This window comes from Homo sapiens, chromosome 6 (assembly GCF_000001405.40).
Source record: "Homo sapiens chromosome 6, GRCh38.p14 Primary Assembly".
Lineage (NCBI taxonomy): Eukaryota > Metazoa > Chordata > Mammalia > Primates > Hominidae > Homo > Homo sapiens.
Window position 1 is genome coordinate 130,699,347 of NC_000006.12, and position 15,621 is coordinate 130,714,967.

General features: G+C 40.4%; 2 annotated features.

The window, feature by feature from the left end:
- Positions 2,390–2,906: an enhancer, noted in NCBI's record as "H3K27ac-H3K4me1 hESC enhancer chr6:131022881-131023397 (GRCh37/hg19 assembly coordinates)". NCBI's record gives its function as "activates a minimal SCP1, AML or CMV promoter by ChIP-STARR-seq in naive H9 embryonic stem cells {active_cell/tissue: H9 hESC(naive)}" and the evidence as "EXISTENCE:reporter gene assay evidence [ECO:0000049][PMID:30033119]".
- Positions 12,365–12,879: an enhancer, noted in NCBI's record as "OCT4-NANOG-H3K27ac hESC enhancer chr6:131032856-131033370 (GRCh37/hg19 assembly coordinates)". NCBI's record gives its function as "activates a minimal SCP1, AML or CMV promoter by ChIP-STARR-seq in naive H9 embryonic stem cells {active_cell/tissue: H9 hESC(naive)}" and the evidence as "EXISTENCE:reporter gene assay evidence [ECO:0000049][PMID:30033119]".

The window sequence follows — 15,621 nt, forward strand, 5'->3', positions numbered from 1 at the left end:
TAGGTTTTTATTTGACCATTTTAAAGTTCATAACAACTGTTTTGCTACATAAAGTTAATAGCTCTAACAATCCCCATTAATCTGAAGCATTTTAGTCTTACAATAATAAATACTTCAACTGAGAGAATTTAAACATTTAGCTGATAAGGAAATGTTCACATTACATTTGAAATGGTTATTATGCTTGAATGTGACTATTCAGACACTGACAATAAATACAAATGACAAGTTTTGTTCACACTACTAATGTTGATTATATTGATTAGAGACAATGAAAACTACGTGATGATGATTTGTTCATGGAGAGTTCAAGGATGCCACAAATGACACTACAATGAGCCTTTAGCTACTTGGCCTTCCAAAGCCCAAAGTCAAAGCAAACTTGAACTACAAATTGGAGCCAAACTCAAGGCCAACACTTGACTTTAGTGCAGCCCTTATGAAGGTACTCTGGAAGTGTGATACAGGGGTAATTGTCCAGGCAATGGAGTCATCCAGATTCCAGTCTTACCTCTAACTTTTTCTACTTGTTTAATCTTAGGCAAGTTGCACAAGCTCTCAGGCTTCAATTTCCTCATGAAAAAACAGGAACAATAAACTCAGAAGACTGATTGAGGCTGCGCAGATAATGCACTGAGCACAGGGAGTGTCCTGTAGTATACACTCAGTAAATCCTAGTTTACTATAGTTACTGTGATCATCTTCAATAATATTAGGATCATAATATCTACTTTGACGAGTCTACAAATTGGAGATTACCTATCAGTATCACTTAAAAACATTTTGTGTCCATTTAATCAATGTTAGTTGATATTACCTAGCCACCTGTAGAACTTTGCAAAATGCTATAAATACAACCTTAGTTTGTGAATTCAGAGCAAATGCAACCAACAGATGCATACTCAACTGAAATAGACATGTCATTTCTTTTTATTGACCCAGTGTCCTCATCTCCTTCCCATGTATAGGGAACTCTGCATTTTAAAATTTCTGGAGAATGCAGAGCCAACCTCTTCTCATAGAAGCTGAAAACACTTAAAAAGCTCCTTTCATGGTTCTCCCTGAAAGCAAAGCTTAAGCACATGAACTAAATTAAGCCAATCAGATGCACCTATCTATTTTTGCATTAAAGATTGTGATCTAGTGAAACAAGGACAAGAAATCATGCTGAGGGACGCAGAAGATGCATCAGCATCCACTTTCCAGGTGCAGCAATGCTGCTGCTACAAAGTGTGACATCCGGTGGTCAGTAGCAGTCGCTTTAGCGGATCTTACTCATGTGATCATGGCAAGAATTTGCTATGGCTCTAGATGTGTAGCCTCCTTTTTCTTGACTGTTTGTCAAACCTTGTACTCTAACCTTCTCAACAATTATGTGAGCTACACAGCACCCTTTCAATAAATTGCAATTCTGCTTAAGTTAAGCAGAATCCATTTCTGCTGATTGCCACTGAGACTGACATGGAAATTGGTAATAGGCAGTGGGGTGCTGGAGGTAGTTGACCTCCAAATGGGGCACTGACTAAAGGAATGGAAGTAATACAGTAAGGACTCCACAATTCCTTGCAGGGAAGAGTGGATAGCCATGAGGATTATGATTATTCACAACATGAATGGCACCCCCAGGCATTGTGTTTGCAAACTTATTCTGAACTAGGAAATGGTAAGCCTTATTATGCAGTTATAAAACTTGGAAAAAGTTGAAAGTAGCTATTTTTAAAGGAGAGAAAAAATGTAAGTATGGCTTTAATATTGAAAGTTCTTTCTGATGGAAACAAAAAACACTGGGAAGTCTGAAAGAGGGGAGGGAGGAAGGAAGTGTTGAAAAATTACCTACTGAGTACTATGTTTACTATTCGGGTTATGGGTTCAATAGAAGCCCAAACCTCAGCATCACACGATATATCCATGTAACACACCTGCACATGTACTCCCAAATCTAAAATGTTAAAAAAAATATATGGTATTCCTGGTCAAGATGGTCGAATAGGAAGAGCTCGGGTCTGTAGCTCCCAGCAAGACCAATGTAGAAGGGAGGTGATTTCTGCATTTCCAACTGAGGTACACGGCTCAACTCATTGGGACTGATTAGACAGTGGGTGCAGCCCATGGAGGGTGAGCCAAAGCAGGGTGGGGCATTGCCTCACCCGGGAAGTGCAGGGGGTTGGCAAACTCCCTCCTCCAGCCAAGGGAAGCTGTGAGGGACCGTGCTGTGAAGAATGGTGCACTCTGGCCCAAATACTATGCTTTTCCCACAGTCTTCACAACCAACAGACCAGGAGATTCCCTCGGGTGCCTACGCCACCAGGGTCTGGGGTTTCAAGCACAAAACCGGATGGCTGTTTGGGCAGACACCAAGCTAGCTGCAGGAGTTTTGTTTTTTTTTCATACCCCAGCGGCACCTGGAATGCCAGTGAGACAGAACCGTTCACTACCCTGGAAAGGGGGCTGAAACCAGGGAGCCAAGTGGTCTAGCTCAGTGGATCCCACAACCATGGAGCCCAGCAAGCTAAGATCCACTGGCTTTAAATTCTCGCTGCCAGGACGGCAGTCTGAAGTCAACCTGAGATGGTTGAGCTTGGTGTGAGGAGGGGCGTCCACCATTACTGAGGCTTGAGTAGGTGGTTTTCCCCTCACAGTGTAAACAAAGCCACCAGGAAGTTCGAACTGGGCGGAGCCCACCACAGCTCGGCAAAGCCACTGCAGCCAGACTGCCTCCCTAGATTCATCCTTTCTGGGCAGGGCATCTCTGAAATAAAGAAAGCAGCCTCAGTCACGAGCTTATAGATAAAAGCTCCATCTCCATGCGACAGAACACGTGGGTGCCGGGTCAGCTGTGGGCACAGCCTCAGCAGACTTAAACGTTCCTGCCTACGGCTCTGAAGAGAGCAGCGGGTCTCCCAGCACAGCGCTCGAGCTCTGCTAAGGTACAGACTGCCACCTCAAGTGGGTCCCTGACCCCCATGCCTCCTGACGGGGAGATACCTCCCAGCAGGGGTTGACACACACCTCATACAGGAGAACTCCAACTGGCTTCTGGCTGGTGCCCCTCTACAAAGCTTCCAGAGGAAGGAACAGGCAGCAATCTTTGCTGTTCTGCAGCCTCCACCAGTGATACCCAGGAAAACAGGGTCTGGAGTGGACCCCCAGCAAACTCCAGCAGACCTGCAGAACAGGGGCCCGACTGTGAGAAGAAAACTAACAAACATAAAGCAATAGCATCAACATCAACAAAGAGGACCACCATGCAAAAGCTTCATCTGAAGGTCCCAACAGCAAAGACCAAAGGTAGACAAATCCACAAAGATGAGGAAAAACCAGCACAAAAAGGCTGAAAATTCCAAAAACCAGAAAGCCTCTTCTCCTCCAAAGGATCAGAACTCCTTAGCAGCAAGGGAACAAAACTGGATGGAGAATGAGTTTGATGAATTGACAGAAGTAGGCTTCAGAAGGTGGGTAATAATAAACTACTCTGAGCTAAAGGAGCAGGTTCTAACCCAATGCAAGGAAGCTAAGAACCTTGAAAAAGGTTAGAGGAATTGCTAACTATAATAACCGGTTTAGAGAACATAAATGACCTGATGGAGCTGAAAAACACAGCACAAGAACTTCGTGAAGCATACACAAGTATCAATAGCCAAATCGATCAAGCAGAAGAAAGGGTAACAAAAATTGAAGATCAACTTAATAAACTAAAGCAAAAAGACAAGATTAGAGAAAAAAGAATGAAAAGGAGTGAAAAAAGCCTCCAAGAAATATGGGACTGTGTGAAAAGACCAAACCTACACTTGATTGGTGTACCTGAAAGTGACGGGGAGAATGGAACCAACTTGGAAAACACACTTCAGGATATTATCCAGGAGAACTTCCCCAAACTAGCAAGACAGGCCAACATCAAATTCAGGAAATACAGAGAACATCACAAAGATATTCCTCGAGAAGAGCAACCCCAAGACACATAATCATCAGATTCTCCAAGGTGAAAATGAAGGAAAAAATGTTAAGGGTAGCCAGAGAGAAAGGTCAGGTTACCCACAAAGGAAAGCTCACCAGACTAACAGTGGATCTCTCTGCAGAAACCCGACAAGCCAGAAGAGAGTGGGGGCTGATAGTTAACATTGGTAAAGAAAAGAATTTTCAATCCAGAATTTCATATCCAGCCAAACTATGCTTCACAAGTGAAGAAGAAATAAAATCCTTTACAGACAAGCAAATGCTGAGGGATTTTGTCACCACCAGGGCTGCCTTACAAGAGCTCCTGAAGGAAGCACAAAATATGGAAAGAAAAAACCAGTACCAGCCACTGCAAAAACAAACCAAAACGTAAAGACCATTGACACTATGAGGAAACCGCATCAACTAATGGGCAAAATAACCAGCTAGCATCATAACAACAGGATTAAATTCACACATAACAATAATAACCTTAAATGGAAACGAGCTAAATGTCCCAATTAAAAGACACAGACTGACAAATTGGATAAAGAGTCATGACCCATCAGTGTGCTATATTCAGGAGACCCATCTCATGCGCAAAGACAAACATAGTCTCAAAATAAAGAGATGGAGGAATATTTATCAAGCAAATGGAAAGCAAAAAAAAAGCAGAGGTTGCAATCCTAGTCTATGAAAAAATACACTTTAAACCAACAATGATCAAAAAGACAAAGAAGGGCATTACAGAATGGTAAAAGGATTAATGCAATAAGAAGAGCTAACTATACTAAATATATATGCACCCAATACAGGAGCATCCAGATCCATAAAGCAAGTTCTTAGAGACCTACAAAGAGACTTAGACTCCCACACAATAATAGTGGGAGACTATAACACCCGACTGTCAATATCAGACAGATCAATGAGACAGAAAAGTAACAAGGATATTCAGGACTTGAACTCAGCTCTGAACCAAGTGGACCTAAGAGACATCTACAGACTCTCCCCCTCAAATCAACAGAATATACATTCTTCTCAGCACCACGTCTCACTTATTCTAAAATCGACCACAAAATTGGAAGTAAAACAATCCTCAGCAAATGCAAAAGAAAGGAAATCATAACAGTCTCTCACACCACAGTGCAATCAAATTGGAACTCAGGATTAAGAAACTCACTCAAAACTGCAAAACTACATGGAAATGGAACAACCTGCTCCTGAATAACTACTGGGTAAATAATGAAATCAAGGCAGAAATAATTAAGTTCTTTGAAACCAATGAGAACAAACACACAACACGCCAGAATCTCTGGGACACAGCTACAGCAGTGTTTAGAGGGAAACTTATAGCACTAAATGCCCACATCAGAAAGCAGGAAAAATCTACAATCGACACTCTAACATCACAATTAAAAGAACTAGAGAAGCAAGAGCAAACAAATTCAAAAGCCAGCAGAAGACAAGAAATAACTAAAATCAGAGCAGAACTGAAAAAGATAGAGACACGAAAACACTTGAAAAAATGAATGAATCCAGGAGCTGGTTTTTGGAAAAGATTAATAGAATAGATAGACTGCTAGCCAGACTAATAAGGAAGAAAAGAGAGAAGAATCAAATAGACACAATAAAAAATGATAAAGGGAAGATCACCAATGATTACACAGAAATACAAACTACCATCAGAGAATATTATAAACACCTCTATGCAAATAAACCAGAAAATCTAGAAGAAATGGATAAATTCCTGGACATATACACCCTCCCAAGAATAAACAAGGAAGAAGTCAAATCCCTGAATAGACCAATAACACGTTCTGAAGTTGAGGCAATAATTAATAGCCTATCAACCAAAAAAAGCCAAGGACCAGAAGAATTCACAGCCAAATTCTACCAGAGGTACAAAGAGGAGCTGGTACCATTCCTTCTGAAACTATTCCTAACAATAGAAAATGAGGGACTCCTCCCTAACTCATTTTATGGTGCAGCATCATCCTGATACCAAAACCTGGCAGAGACACAACAAAAAAAGAAAATTTCAGGCCAATATCCCTGATGAACATCGATGCAAAATCCTCAATGTAATACTGGCAAACCGAATCCAGCAGCACATTAAAAAGCTTGTCCACCACGATCAAGTCGGCTTCCTCCCTGGGATGCAAGGTTGGTTCAACATATGCAAATCAATAAATATAATCCGTCACATAAACAGAACCAAAGACAAAAACCACATGATTATATTAATAGATGCAGAAAAGGCCTTCAATAAAATTCAACACCCCTTCATGCTAAACACACTCAATAAACTAGGTATTGATGGAACACATCTCAAAATAGTAACAGCTATTTATGACAAACCCACAGCCAAAATCATACTGAATGGGCAAAAGCTGGAAGCATTCCCTTAGAAAACCAGCACAAGACAAGGATGCCCTCTCTCACCACTCCTATTCAACATAGTATTGGAATTTCTGACTAGGGCAATCAGGCAAGAGAAAGAAATAAAGGGTATTCAAATAGGAACAGAGGAAGTCAAATTATCTCTATTTGCAGATGACATGACTGCATATTTAGAAAACCCCATCATGTCAGGCCATAATCTCCTTAAGCTGATAAGCAACTTCAGCAAAGTCTCAGGATACAATACCAGTGTGCAAAAATCACAAACATTCCTGTACGCCAATAATAGACAATCAGAGAGCCAAATCATAAGTGAACTCTCATTCACAATTGCTACAAAGAGAATAAAATACGTAGGAATAAAACTTACAAGGGATCTGAAGGACCTCCTTCAAGGAGAAATACAAACCACTGATCAAGGAAATAATAGAGGATACAAAGGAATGGAAAGACATTCCATGTTCATGGATAGGAAGAATAAATATCGTGAAAATGGCTATACTAACCAAAGTAACTTATAGATCCAATGCTATTCCCATCAAACTACCATTGACTTTCTTCACAGAATTAGAAAAACCTACGTTAAATTTTATATGTAACCAAAAAAGACCCTGTATAGCCAAGACAATCCTAAGCAAAAAGAACAAAGCTGAGGCATCACGCAACCTGACTTCAAACTACACTGCAAGGCTACTGTAACCAAAACAGCATGGTATTGGTACCAAAACAGATAGATAGACCAACGGAATAGAACAGAGGCCTCAGAAATAACACCATACATCTACAACCATCTGATCTTTGACAAACCTGACAAAAACAAGCAATGAGGAAAGGATTCCCTATTTAACAGATGATGTTGGGAAAACTGGCTAGCCATATGCAGAAAACAGAAACTGTACCCCTTTCTTACACCTTATACAAAAATCAACTCAAGATGGATTAAAGCTTTAAATGTAAGACCTAAAACCATAAAAACCCTATAAGAAAACCTAGGCAATACCATTCAGGACATAGGCGTGGGCAAAGGATTCATGACTAAAATACCAAAAGCAATGGTGACAAAATCCAAAATTGATAAATGGGATCTAATTAAACTAAAGAGCTTCTGCACAGCAAAAGAAACTATCATCAGAGTGAACAAGCAACCTACAGAATGGGAGAACATTTTTGCAATCTATCCGTCTGACAAAGGGCTAATATCCAGAATCTACAAGGAACTTAAACAAATTTACAAGAAAAAAATAACTCCATCAAAAAGTGGGTGAAGGATATGAACAGACGCTTCTCAAAAGAAGACATTTATGTGGCCAAAAAACATATGAAAAAAAGCTCATCATCACTGGTCATTAGAGAAACACAAATCAAAACCACAATGAGACACCATCTCACGCCAGTTAGAATGGCGATTGTTAAAAAGTCAGGAAACAACAGATGCTGGAGAGGATGTGGAGAAACAGGAACACTTTTACACTTTTGGTGGGAGTGTAAATTAGTTCAACCATTGTGGAAGATGGTGTGGTGATTCCTCAAGGATCTAGAACTAGAAACACAATTTGACCCAGCAATCCCATTACTGGGTATATACCCAAAGGATTATAAATCGTTCTTTTATAAGGACACATGCACACGTATGTTTATTGCAGCACTATTCACAATAGCAATGACTTGGAACCAACTCAAATGCCCATCAGTGATAGACTGGATAAAGCAAATGTGGCACATATACACCATGGAATACTATGCAGCCATAAAAAAGGATGAGTTCATGTCCTTTGCAGGGACATAGATGAAGCTGGAAATCATCATTCTCAGCAAACTAACACAGGAACAGAAAACCAAACACCACATGTTCTCACTTATAAGTGGGAGTTGAACAATGAGAACATATGGGCACAGGGAGGGAACAGTACACACCGGGGCCTGTCAGGGGGTGGGAGGCAAGGGGAGGGATAGCATTAGGATAAATACCTAATGTAGGTGACAGGTTGATGGGTGCAGCAAACTACCGTGGCACATGTATACCTATGTAACAAACCTGCATGTTCTGCGCATGTATCCCAGAACTTAAAATATAATAAATAAGTAAAATGAATAAGTATATGTCATATGTGCTCAAAAAAATTATTTTTGCCTATAGCCTGCAAGCCAAAATGACTGGGAGTCTGATAATTGTCTGCCTTTCAAGATTGTAAAATTAAAATTCTCTATTACAAACTAAAGTTTTTCAACAGAGACAGAGACTAAGGAGACTTGTCAGGAGAAAAAATTGGAGCAAAAGACATGCATGATCACTCAGGCCCTTCTTGTACACCACCATTTAGCCTTCTCTACAGGCCTAAGAGTTAAATAGGTTCAATGTGAAGCAGCAACTGGAATGGATGCAGCCTGGAGTTACAGATTAGATTATTGCTTTGAAGTATCATAGAGCATCAGCCTTTCAACTGCAGGCTAGAGCTATAGGGCAAGGCACAGAAGCAGATAGCAAGCAGACAGATAATCCAAAACATGCATGAAATGAAAATACTTCTACACAGCAAAGGAAACAATCAACAGAGACAAGAGACAGCCTAAGGAATGGGAGAAATTATTTGTAAACTACACATTTGATAATATGTACATATGTACACATACATATATAGACATACATACAATATTATTCATCCTTAATAAGGAAAATCTTGTCATTTGCAACAATGTGGATGAAGCTGGAGGACAGGAAACTAAATTTAATAAGCCAAGGATAGAAAGATAAATACTGCATGTCTTAGTCTGTTTGTGTTGCTATAAGGAAATGCCTGAGGCTGGGTAATTTATAAAGTAAATAGGTTTGTTTAGCTCACAGCTCTACAGGCTTTACGAGAAGCATGGTGCCAGCATCTGCTTCCACTCATTGCAGAAGGTGGAGGGGAGCCGGTGTATGCAGAGATCACATGGTGAGAGAGGAAGGAAGAAGGGGCAGGGAGAGGCCAGGCTGTTACTCACAATCAGCTTTCTCAGGAACTAAAAGAGAAAGAACTTATTTACCTTTTCCCCCAGAAGGGCATCAATCTATTCATCAGGGATCCTCCCCTATAACACAAACATTCTCATTAGGCCCCATCTCCAGCATTGGGGGTTAAATTTCAACATGAGATTTGGAGGGGACAACATGCAAACTATCACACTGCACAGACTCACTTCCATGTGGAATCTAAAAAATCCGAACTCAAAGAAACAGATTAGAATGGTGGTATTCAGGGGCCAGAGGGTGGAGGGAAGAGGGTTGTGGAGATATTGATCAAAGGGTACAAAGTTTCAGTTAGACAGGAGGAATAAGTTCTGGAGATCTATCAAACAGTGGTGACTGTAGTTAATAAGAAGTTGTATACTTGAAAATTGCTAAGAGCATAGATCTTAAATGTTCTCACCACACACACAAAATAGCTATGTGATGTGATGGATGTGTTAATTAGCTTGACTGTGGTAATCACCTCACAATATATGTATGTATCAAAACATCATATTGTAACAACATAAATATATACAATTTAATTTTAAGTTATGCTTCAGTAAAGCTGGTGGGAAAAAATCCTAGACACAAAGACCGTGTCTGAGTAATATCTCTGGTTGTGTTTTCTAATCAATAGAATTAACCAGAATTAAGTAAACAAAATGCCTATTACATTTTTAAGGCCACGATAGTATTAAAAATGCCCCCCCTTGCAGCCAAAAACATCATGTGATGGTGTAGACCTTAAAGCAATCACAAGAGGTCTGAAGTTACACCTAAAGAAAAAAACTGCTAAAACTTTGCAGCTCCCAGAAAGGACATCCTTCTTCTCTCTCCTTAATGCCCATCTCAGATGTGCTTGCAGAGAACAATGTATGGGAGACTCTTTTGCAGTGCAGAAACGGGCACTCAGAATGGCTGCCAGGACATGAACCATGAACTCTTATTATCCAACAAGGTGGGACATGTGCTTTGAACCAATGACTATTGGGAGCAGCTTCCATTCTTCCCTCTTCCCAAATGAGTACTTACTGTGGTTTTTACTTCTACCATTGTGTGAGATAATGCTGGGGAGGGTGGTGAGTGATTTAACTTGTAACTGGCGATTTCTAGATCAAAAGGTAGAGGTTCTTGAGAGATAATGAACTTAGAACTAGATGCAGGATCTGGATGAGGCTTTCAGTTTGCTCCCTTTGGGAAAGGCCCAGCGCATTTCATGTAGACATTCACACTTTTGAAGGCTTATTCATGTAAAGATGGGGTATGATTATATATTATGTTGCCAAAGGGATGTGAGGAGCTTGTTATTTGCCTACTTGGCATCTAATCCCCCTATGACATTTTTTAACAGAGACCCAATTTAGTTTAGATATTTAGTCCTTCTTCAAGCAGCCCAAGCATACGTAAATCAGTCTTAACCAACCCATACCAAGATTGTCAATGGTGGGTTCAGGAACCCAGAGCACAACATTCTCCTGGCAAGTGTTGCCGGTTTGAGGATGAGCATATGTCCTAAGTAGACCCAATCAACTGAAGAGAAGGTCATTATAACCTATGATGTGGGAGAGGCTCTTTCCCCCTCCTACCTACTCATATATCCCTCCTTCAATTCACCATATACCCCTTAGGAACTAGATTGTAATCCTGAGAGAAGCCTACTTATAAACACACAGAGAAAGACAGAGTGAAGAAAAGGGCAACAAATTTGAGCCAGAGCCATAATCGTACTGTACCTGAGGCCTACATTATCTCTGGATTTCTTCCTTGAGATAACACATTTCCTTATTGTTCGACACAGTTTAAACTGAGGTTTCTGTTAGTTTCTGCCAAAAGCATCCTGATACATGAACTAAGTAGAAACAAGGTTTTCAGCCCAATCTTCTCTGCCTCAAAGACTGGGACAGGGAGGGTTAAACCAACACAAAGGGCACCAGGCTGCTAAACCAGAAGTTATGCAGAGGACTGGGAATGCAGGTCATTAGGTAGTCCATTAACAGGTTGTAGAGAAATAATTTTATATTTATCTTATAGTTACTTCACATGTGGAAAATATTGCTTTCCCATGCACAGTACTGCTATAAAGTTTACTTTTAAATGAATGTGTTTATGTAAAAAGGAATCAACTTGAAGAAAATATCACAAGTCATAGTATTTTCCTTGGGATGCTGTAACAAAATACCACAAACTGGATGGCTTAAAACAACAGAAATTTATTATTTCACCGTCTAGATATCAGAAATCTGAAATTGAGTTGTCAGTAGGGCCATGCCCCTCCTGGAGGATCTAGAGGAGGATTTTTCTTTACCTCTTCCTAGTTTCTGGTGGTTGCCAGAATCCTTCGCATTCCTTGGACTATAGATGCATCACTTCAGTCTCTATCTCCATCTTCACGTGTCCTTCGTGTGTGTGTGTGTGTGTGTGTGTGCGTGTGTGTGTCTGAGTCTTCACATAACATCCTTCTCTCTGTGTATCTGTGTCCATATTTGTCCATATTTCCATCTTCTTGTAAGGACATTGGTCATTGGCCTAGAGTTCACTCTTACCCTGTACTACCTCATCTTCACGTGAATATACTTGCAAAGACCATTTCCAAGCAAGGTCACATTCACACATACTGAGGATTAGGACTTCAGCATATCTTTTGGGAGGGCACAATTCAACCCACAAAACAAGTGATATTCAGATACAGCAGAAGTCATGAAAGTGGGATATAAAGAGCATTTTGAAACTCTGAGGATACTACTACAATGGAAAGAGGGGTGTATAAAGGAACCAGGACATATGTTCAGTTACACACAGGCCCACGAGCTTCAAGTCAAGCAATGTATTGTGATTTCTCAGAATGTGATCAACATTTGCTAACACCCCTCTAGACTCCTAACCTTAGCAAGTCATATCTGAAAATTATGTAGTCAGAACATAAAAAAGGAATCAAAATATTGATGCTGCTGGAAAAACAATCCAAAATACATGTATAGTCAGTGGTGTTGTCAAATGGAGGCAACACACATTTTTTATATTTCTCTGAGCATTTAGCCTTCTTCTAATAATTGATGTCTCCAAGGTAGAATTTAATTTCAATAATATTTCTAGCCAAAAATGACCATCCTTGTATAGTCATGCATCACTTAAAGATGAGGAAATGGTTATTAGGTGATTTAGTTGTGGTATGAACTGTCAGGCCTCTGAGCCCAAGCCAAGCCATCACATCCCCGGTGACTTGCACATATACGCCCAGATGGCCTGAAGTAACTGAAGAATCACAAAAGAAGTGAAAATGCCCTGCCCCACCTTAACTGATGACATTCCACCACAAAAGAAGTGTAAACGGCTGGTCCTTGCCTTAAGTGATGACATTATCTTGTGAAAGTCCTTTTCCTGGCTCGTTCTGGCTCAAAAATCTCCCCCACCGAGCATCTTGCGACCCTCACTCCTGCCCGCCAGAGAACAAATCCCCTTTGACTGTAATTTTCTTTTATCTACCCAAATCCTATAAAACGGCCCCACCCTTATCTCCCTTCGCTGACTCTCTTTTCGGACTCAGCCCGCCTGTACCCAGGTGATTAAAAGCTTTATTGCTCACACAAAGCCTGTTTGGTGGTCTCTTCACACGGATGCCCATGAAATGAACATCATAGAGTGTACTTACACAAACCTAGCTGGTTCAGCCTACTACACACCTAGGCTAGATGGTATAGCCTATTGCTCCTACCTAGGCTACAAACCTTTACAGCATGTTACTGTACTGAATACTGTAGGGAACTGGAAGACAATGGTAAGTATTTATGTCTCTAAACATATCTAAACATAGAAAAGGTAAGGTACAGTAAAATTATGATATAATCTTATTATGGGTCATAGATGCAATCCAACATTGACCAAAACATCATTATGTGTCACATGGCTATACTTGGAGAGGACTTCCTCTAATCTGGGCACTATTTCCCAGTACCTAGCATTAGCCTCTAATTTTTTTAGTCCCCAGCTGTGTCTCCTTGCAGGAAAACAAAAGCTTATAGTTTGATAATTAAATTAATTATAGAAAGTAATTATTACATGCTATACCTCAAAAAATTTGATCTGCAATTTGTCACACAGCATAAAGGGGGAGGGACAATTAGGAAGAGTCATTTTGCATTTAGAAGGTCAAAATTGGGATGTTTACTATTTGAAATTGAGCAAGAAACTCTGGGGAGAAAATAATAATAATAAATCTTGTAAACGGTTTTATGAAACCCTGGAACGCTTTGGATATTAGGAAGGTTTCCCTGTCTCATTTGTTGAAGTAATAAAGTGTGAAGAAATGGTAAATCTGATTAGCCACGCTTTTCTAGCATTAACCTACAGTCTGAAAGGAAAGAAAGAATATCTAAAATTTCAATCACTGTTGTTTCCTGTGCTTAATCAGTTAAAGAAAAAATGTTCCCCAAGGCTGTTCAGAAAACAGTGATGTTCAGGTATGTGAGAAATCATTCGGAAACCCATGGACCTGTGGCCAAGGCATATGCATTTTTCTGAATGTTGTCAAAAGCAGTTTTATCTTCATAATGTAAGGCAGAGGCTTCTTGGTTGTTTGTGAACCACCTGGTGTTCACAGACCAATGCAGGAATGCAGAAAGCTGTTTCCATGGCAATGAGACTTTCCTCCTGGCAACCACCCCTCCCCCACCTCCCATCTTTCTACGCTGTCAGGAGTTGAGATAGGATTTCTGCAAAGAGCAGCGATGGTGATAGAGCAAGCATTTTGTGTTTTTTTCAAATGCATCGGCTGCATGTTTATAAGCAGTAGGTGAATCTCCTCTGCCCACATGTGGAGAGGTTCACAGACCCATTAGAATCCAACCTTCTCACATTCAAATCACTACATCAATAGCATTTTCTTTAACATCTCAGTTTATGAACAGACACTTCCTAGGTCAAAGGTCAGCGACTACAGCCCAGAGGCCAAACCTGGCCTGCCACGTGTGTTTCTAAGCAAAGCTTTATGGAAAGATGGTCACACTCAGGTGGTTATGTACTGCCACGGATGCTTCTATGTTTCAGTGGCTTAACTGACTAGTTGACAGGACAGACAGACACCATATGGCCCGAAAGTCCAAAAAACATTGACTATCTGACCCTTTAGAGACAAAGTTTGCCAATACCTATTGTAGATGATGTGGAGCCAAAACGTGGTAGAGAAGACTGCCAAATACTGAAGTAGGCACAGTATGCTATAGTAAATAGAGAGAACTAAATGAATGCTAGTAAGAATTCCTCTGTATCCCTCAGGCCCAGACTGTTCTGAGAAGAATCTCTTCTAAAGGTGAGACTGAAAAGATAGGAAGCCTTAGGAAAGACACGTTTTAAGGGACAGGGAGGTGTTCTAGATAAGAGCCAGCGGAGGATGGTGAAGGGACACATAAGAAACCCATGAACACTGGAAAGGACCACGCAAACTTGAGGTGCTGCTCTCATGGTGAGCACAAGTTCTCAACAATGGGAGGAGAGGTTTGTGAATAGCAGGAAGTAAGGTTAGGGCCAAAGATACATAGGCTCATGAAAGTCGGGCAAAGGAAATGACCTTCTTCTATAGGGAATGAGCACCCACTAAACTATAAACTGATAGGATGAGAGCTTTGTTTAAGGCAAATCCAGAAAATCAGATGAAGGATTAGCTACAGAGAATGGGAGAAGGAAGAGAGGGAAGCCAGTTCATTAATATCTGTCATCTATGTTATGCTTGTTGTGTGCCAGAAGCTACTCTAAGTTCCTAACATGCATTAACTCACTTAATCCTACTAACAACCCTATGAGGTAAACTACTATGATTGCTACTTTGCAGATGAGAAATCTGTGGCCAAAGTGGTTAAGTAGTCAAAGTCCTACAGATAGAAATTTGCAAAGCCAGGATTTAAATCCAGATGTTGTGGCTCCAGAGTCCAACTTCTGTACCCAGTTACAAATTATATCAAAGTATAAAATTGAGATAAGAATTCAGTTAGCCTTGTTGCAGTGGCACCTGCAAGGTGCTCCATAAATGTATTTGATGAGTAAATAATGAATGAAAGAAAAGACAAAAAAGGAAATAACAAGTACAAAGAGCATGAGGGAGAAGAAAAATCAATGGCACTCAGGGTCTAATATAAAAGATTCAAAGGAGAAGGAGGCATCAAAGATAATTCTAATCATTCCCTTTTGGATGGCCAGAAGAATGATGGAATTGACGCACACGAAAATAGGAGGGAAAATCAGCTTTGGGGATAAAGTGGTAAATTCAGTTTGAGATTAAACAGATGATGAATTTGATGAGATGGCAG